The sequence below is a fragment of the Homo sapiens genome, chromosome 7 (assembly GCF_000001405.40).
Source record: "Homo sapiens chromosome 7, GRCh38.p14 Primary Assembly".
NCBI lineage: Eukaryota > Metazoa > Chordata > Mammalia > Primates > Hominidae > Homo > Homo sapiens.
This window is the reverse complement of record NC_000007.14, coordinates 67,375,283-67,382,264: the sequence shown is the minus strand read 5'-3', so window position 1 is coordinate 67,382,264 and position 6,982 is coordinate 67,375,283. Positions and strand designations below refer to the sequence as shown.

Genomic DNA, 6,982 nt, shown 5'->3' with positions numbered 1-6,982 from the left:
TGACCTTGTGATCTGCCTGCCTCGGCCTCCCAAAGTGCTGGGATTACAGATGTGAGCCACCGCGCCCAGCCGAAATAATTTTACAGATCAAGAAACTATAGCATAGCGAGGCTATGGAATTTAAGTAACATACATGACAGGTCCTGGCTTCCTTATAGACAGGCAACTCCAAGTAGGGCCCCCCAGCACCAAGCTGACTGCCAGTCCCCAACCCTCCAGAAACACAGAAATGTAAACAGCAGTTCTTCAGCTCCTGTCTTTTTCCTCCATTGTTTATTGAGCTAACTTCGAAGAAACTGTTTCCCAAGTATTCAGAGCAGGTAGTTGGGAAGAAAAGTAGTAACCAATGAAAGTTTGCACTAGCCAATGTCACATTAGCCATAGATGAAAGTACATTTGTGAGATTCAGATGCTGCAAAATAAACCACCGTGAGTGAGAGTATTAACATTTACTATCACAAGCATATTGCAAATCGTGTCTGCAGAAAACTAATTTAGCTGTGTCCTGATTTCCATACAATCATGTTTGCATTATCCGAGAGGCACACTACGGTCCTGCCTCTGACAAGCAAAGGTCTCCTGTCTGGCTTGATGTGAAATGACTCTAGCTGCCTCAAGGAGTCCTTGTCTCAGTAACCTTTGCACTTCTGGCCCCCTACCTTCCATGTGCCATGCCAGCCAGGACCTCAAACATAACAGAGCAGGCACCAGAAAGGGGCAGGAACTACTGGGCTGGCACCCAGGACTTCTGCACTTCTTAATTCGCAATGCTGGGAACAAGATGATCACGTGCCACTCATCCCAGACAAACTAATGCTTCTATACCCCTAAGAAAATGCAAAATGCCTTTCAAGGGTCTGATTTCAAGGGCCAAGCTCCATTTCTTGGACAGAAAAAATGGAAAATGGCCTCCCATCCAAATTGAAGCCACCTAGGGACTGGATGCAAGGAACAGAATCTGCCTGAGATGGTCCTGGAGAGCTTAGACTGAGTCTGCAGGTGCCCTGAGTTCTCCACGCTCTCTCAGGAGGCCCGGCCCACCTCCATCTCAAATCATATGTGCACATGCATGTACACACATATGCACAGCATACACACACACACACCATGTGCCACATGTACACATGCACATACATACACCATGCACACATGCATGCACACACAGCATGCACACACCATGCACATGTACTTATGTACACATGCACATGTGCGGACTATGGACCACATGTACACATGTACAAACATAAATCATGCATATATGCATGCACACACATGCACACACCATGCATCACATGTACATATGTACAAACATACATCGTGCATACATGTGTGTGCACACATGGGCACACCATGTGCCACATGTACTCATGTACAAATATCATGCATACATGCATATATGCATGCATACACCATGTACCACATGTACACAGGTATAAACATAAATCACACATGCATGCATACAAATGCAAACAATATACACATGTACATATGTACAAACACGCATCATACATACATGCATGCACACACATGCACATACCATGTACATGTACGCATGTACAAACATCACACATACATGCATTCACATGCATGCATACACCGTGAACATGTACATATGTACAAACATACATCGTGCATACATGCATACACACATGCACATACCATATACCACATGTACATATGTACAAAGATAAACACATGCATGCAGGCACACACATGCACACACCATGTGCCACATGTACACATGCACACACATGCACATTCACACAGCATGCACTACATGTACACATGCACATACATATATCATGCACACAGAGAATGCACAGACCATGTACCATACATACACATGTGCACATACATATACATACATCATGCACACATGCATGCACACACCATGTGCACACATCCACACATACGTACATATACACACACATACACACATGCAGTCCACACACACTTGCCCCTGACTCTCCAAGCAGCTGAACCATCTATCCACAAAGGCTCTGTAAAGTACACATTACTAACTGGCCTGCCCACATTCATGGTGAAGAGCTCAGGCTGTATGGAAATCAGGCTGAACCCTGGAAGATATGTAGGGAAAATACACAAAGGTCATGTCTACACGGTATTAGAAACCAATCTCTCTAGTACATGGATTTTTTTAGCCAGAAATAGGTCAGAAATAAACAATGCTGGTAGCAAGAGAGTTCCAGATACACTCAAATCCCTTCCAGCTGGCGTGCAGATGTGAGCAGCACCCAGATCTGCAGAAAAGTGGGGTTCCTTTACCCCAAGTGTGGACTGTGACACTGAATTAGAGGGGTAGAGAGAGAAGGAGTCAGACCTAGGAAAGTCCTCAGCTATTTTTCAGCTATTTTCTCAGACCAACTGGCTCTTTTTACAGATGTGAAACTGAGTCTCAGAGGACCATTGTCCACTGTCTACCAGTTTGGCAGGCTGCTGTCTCCCCGCACCCAGGATCCCCACACCTCTGGGGTCTTCCAGAAGCTTCTTTCAGTCTGAGAGACCCTAGGTTCCCTCCTCATCTTTCCCCTTCTTCTCTGTATATTCAAGCCACAGAACTGACGGCCCCATAGGAGCAAAGAATAAACATCCTCTCCAAGAGCAAAGAGCCCTGGCCCAGGCACTGCACCTCCATCTCTGGGCCTCAGTTTCCATCTGTGAAATGGGACGATGGGACTCAGCTCCCTTCTATCTCTGTTGCTCCATGACCCTGTGTTACTGCTAATCCAGCAAAACGGTGATGCTCATGAAGTTTGCCCTTTGTGGTCCTTTATATCCCTGAACTTTTCAGGACTTGCTTCCCTGTCCTGCCCTGGCCCCGGTACAAAGGCCTGAAGCTGGCCAGGCACGGTGGCTCACCCGTGTAATCCCAGCACTTTGGGAGGCCAAGACGGGCAGATCACCTGAGGTCAGGAGTTTGAGACCAGCCTGACCAACATGGAGAAACCCCGTCTCTCCTAAAAATACAAAATTAGCCGGGCGTGGTCGTGGGCGCCTGTAATCTCAGATACTCAGGAGGCTGAGGCAGGAGAATCGCTTGAACCCAGGAGGCGGAGGTTGCAGTGAGCCAAGATCACGCCATTGCACTCCATTCTGCGCAACAAGAGTGAAACTCTGTCTCAAAAAAAAAAAGCCTGAAGTTCTCATATTATCCCAGTTTCTCGGGACAGGGAGAAAAGCTCATTAGGAAAAATTATTCACAATGAAGTATTTTAGCCCGAAATAGATCAGAAATAAACGCTGGTAGCAAGAAAGTTCCAGATACACTCAAATCCCTTTCAGCTGGTGTGCAGATGTGAACAGCAGCCACACCTACAGAAAAGTGGGGTTCCTGAAGAGGACAACACTGAACCCAACGGTGATAGGAACGGCTGAGTGCAACCCTAAATTTGTCATCTGACACCCAGGGCACCTCCTTGACTCTGGATGTACCAGAAAGTCCTGTGTCTTGCAAAGGTCATGTTCCCAGCTGAGGCCGGGATGTGCCTCTCCAGGCCTCTGCAGCTTTGAGGTCCTGGGACGATCATTGTTCTACCCACGACTCCATGAATGCAGCCTTGACACTGTGCCAGGACCATGGTCGCCTTTCATCCTCCCTCAAATCCTGGCAGTGGGAACCAAGGCTGAGGGCACGAGGCCAGCTGCCCAGGCTGAAACAGAGAGAGGCTGGAGCAAAAGAGACTAATGTTCCTCCCCGGCTCGGGGTCTCCGAGTTGAGCCACCTAAGGCACGTGGCGGCTCCCAGCTAGACCATGCACTGGGTCTCCCAGGCCTTTAGACCCCCTGGGGACTGCCAAGCTACAGGCCCAAGACACCCAGCACGTGGGGCCTGCAAGCATCTTTCATGAATCAAGAGTGACCCCTGGTGGCTGCCAGGAGTACTCCTCCCACTGCTCCACCTACTCACAAGCAAGCCTGTGGCCATCCCAGCCCAGCTGCTCCTGTGTGCCCAGCCTCATGACTGATGGGGCTCCCTTCTCCTCCCTGAGGCCAGCTGTCTTCCAGAAGGAACTGTTCAAGAGTTCTGCAGGCTAGGATCTCAGCCCTGGAACCCTACCGTGTGCAGCCCGGGTGTCCTCAGGCTGAAAGGTGGCCCTGCACCAGGAGGGCTCTGGGGCTCTCGGAAGCCCTGCCTTGGCTCAGAAGGCCCTCCAAGCTCTCTACCCAGGCCCGCACTACCTTGGGTTCAACCTACAACTCAAGGACCACCTCCCTGGAACCCTTCCCCAGAACCGTTCCCTAGAAATGTGTCTCTCTTTGGGATCACACTGTCCCAACCAAATTGTGGGATCCAAGGTCTGATAAGGTACGTGGGGGGTTTCTTTGTTTCATTTTGTTTTGTTTTTTGAGACGGAGTCCCGCTGTGTCGCCCAGGCTGGAGTGCAGTGGTGCAACCTCTGCTCACTGCAGCCTCTGCCTCCTGGGTTCAAGTGATTCTCCTGCCTCAGCCTCCCAAGTAGCTGGGATTAGAGGCGTGCACCACCACACCCGGCTAATTTTTGTATTTTTAGTAGAGACAGGGTTTCACTATGTTGGCCAGGCTGGTCTCAAACTCCTGACCTCAGGTGATCCACCTGCCTCGGCCATCCAAACTGCTGGGATTACAGACGTGAGCCACTGTGCCTGGCCTCTTTTTTCCTTTTTTTTGTTTTTTGTTTTTTTGCCACAGGGTCTTGCTCTGTTGCCCAAGCTAGACAGAGTACAGTGGCACACTCATAGCTCACTGCAGCCTCCAATTATTGGGTTCAACCAATCCTCCCACTTCAGCCTCCTGAGCTGGGACTGCAGGTGCAAACCACCATGCCCAGCTGATTTTTTTTTTTTTTTTTTTTTTTTTTTTACTTTTTATAGAGACAGGAGTCTCACAATGCTGCCCAGGCTGGTCTCAAACTCCTGGCCTCAATTGCTCCTCCCAAGTTGGCCTCCCAAAGTGCTGGGATTATAGGCATGAAACTCTATGCCTTGTTACATACTTGGTTGTTTGTTTGTCATTTTTGTTTTTTGAGATGGAGTCTCACTCTGTTGCCCAGACTGGAGTGCAGTGGTGTGATCTCGGCTCACTGCAACCTCTGCCTCCCAGGATCAAGCAATTCTCCTGCCTCAGCCTCCCAAGTAGCTGAAATTACAGGCATGTGCCACCACGTCTGGCTAATTTTTATATTTTTAGTAGAACAACAGTTCCACCATGTTGCCCAGGCTGGTCTTGAACTCCTAACCTCAGGTGATCTGCCCACCTCAGCCTCTCAAAATGCTGGGATTATAGGCATAAGCCACCACGCCCAGCCACATACTTGGTTCTTAATCTTTGACTGGACTGAAACATTTTTAACTTCTCCCAGCATTGTCTGAAACTGAATTAAATTTTTTTTTTCAGTGAATGAAGGTTTTTAATGCATTCATGTGAATGGTGGGTTCTTAGAGGCATATTTTTAGATGCAAGAAATTTTCTCAATTGTGGCTGAATATATATATAACAAAAAAATGTGTCATTTTCAGCATTTCTAAGGACAGAGTTTGGTAGTCTTAAATAAATTCCCATTATCATGCAACCTTCACTGTCATCCATCTCCAGAACTTTCTCATCTTCTCAAACTGAAACCCTGTCCCCATGAAACACTCACTCCCCATTTCTCCCTCCCACCAGCCCTTGCCAACCATCATCCTTCTCTCTGCCTCTGTGAATATGATGATTGCAACAGTGAATTAATGATGTTAACACCATTTAAATCTTCACCTGTCTGTGTTCATCTTCTCCTCCCCAATGTGTGGGAATGAGGACGTGTTTGGGTCTTTCCAGGCCCCTCATAACACACACACCATTCCCAGGACACGGCTATGCCTGGCCCATGATGAGAGTGAACTCAATGAGAAGCTCACTCATTCATGCATTTTATAAACATTCCCGTTTTACAGACATTCGTGCATTTTACAAACATTCCACATGCTCATTGTACACACATTCCTTGATCCTCTGTGGGGTCCAGGCTCATGTTGTGTGCCTGAGACACACCTGTGAAGAAGACAGCCATGTATTGGGAGGCTGGTACTGGGGCCAGGCGTGGTAGTATTGGGGCAGGATGTGGTGACTCACGCCTGTCATCCCAGCACTTTGGGAGGCCAAGGAGGGAAGATCACTTGAGGCCAGGAGTTCGAGACTAGCCTGACCAACATGGCAAAACCCTGTCTCTACCAAAAATACAAAAATTAGCCAAGTGTGGTGGTGTACACCTGTAATCCCAGCTACTAAGGTGGCTGAAGTAGGGACAATCTCCTGAACCCAGGAGGCAGAGGGTGCAGTGAGTCGAGATCACACAACTGCACTCCAGCCTGGGCGGCAGAGCAAGACTCTGCCTTGGAAAAAAGAAAAAAAAAGAACTGGTATTGGAACCAGGGAAATAAGCACCAACCAGGCATGACACAGATGTTGACATGATTCTACAATTGCGCTGTTGCTCTTTGAAACCATTCTGGGAGCTAAAAGGGCATCTCTAGTCAGGCAACAGAGGGGAGGCTTCCTTGAGAAAGCTGCATTTCACCTGAGATCACCAGAAAGGGAGATCATGAGATGAGGGAATGGGGAAAAACGAGGAAATGAGAAGTATTAGGAGGTATCAGCTTCCTATGGCTGCTGTAACAAATAGCCACCAACTCAGTGGCTTAAAACAACACAAATCCATTCTCTAACTGTTCTGGGGGTCAGAAGTCTTGAAATCAAGATGTTGAGAGCTTGCAACATAGAACTCCTGGGCTCAAGCGATCCTCCCACCTCACCCTCCCAAGTAACTGGGACTACAGGTACGCACCACCACGCCCAGCTAATTTTTTTACATTTTTTTTGTAGAGACAGGGGTCTCGCTATGTTGTCCAGGCAGGTCTTGAATTCCTGGTCTTGAACAGCTGTGTTCCTTCTGGAGGCTTTGCAGGGAAATCTGTTTCTTTGTCTCCAACAACTTTTAGAGGC

The 6,982-nt window shown here is 48.1% G+C and overlaps 3 annotated features.

The window, feature by feature from the left end:
• Positions 3,728-3,897: a silencer, noted in NCBI's record as "silent region_18221". NCBI's record gives its function as "represses an Ori minimal core promoter by ATAC-STARR-seq in GM12878 lymphoblastoid cells {active_cell/tissue: GM12878}" and the evidence as "EXISTENCE:reporter gene assay evidence [ECO:0000049][PMID:35858748]".
• Positions 3,728-4,325: a biological region, named in NCBI's record as "H3K4me1 hESC enhancer GRCh37_chr7:66842927-66843428".
• Positions 3,824-4,325: an enhancer, noted in NCBI's record as "H3K4me1 hESC enhancer chr7:66842927-66843428 (GRCh37/hg19 assembly coordinates)". NCBI's record gives its function as "activates a minimal SCP1, AML or CMV promoter by ChIP-STARR-seq in naive and primed H9 embryonic stem cells {active_cell/tissue: H9 hESC(naive and primed)}" and the evidence as "EXISTENCE:reporter gene assay evidence [ECO:0000049][PMID:30033119]".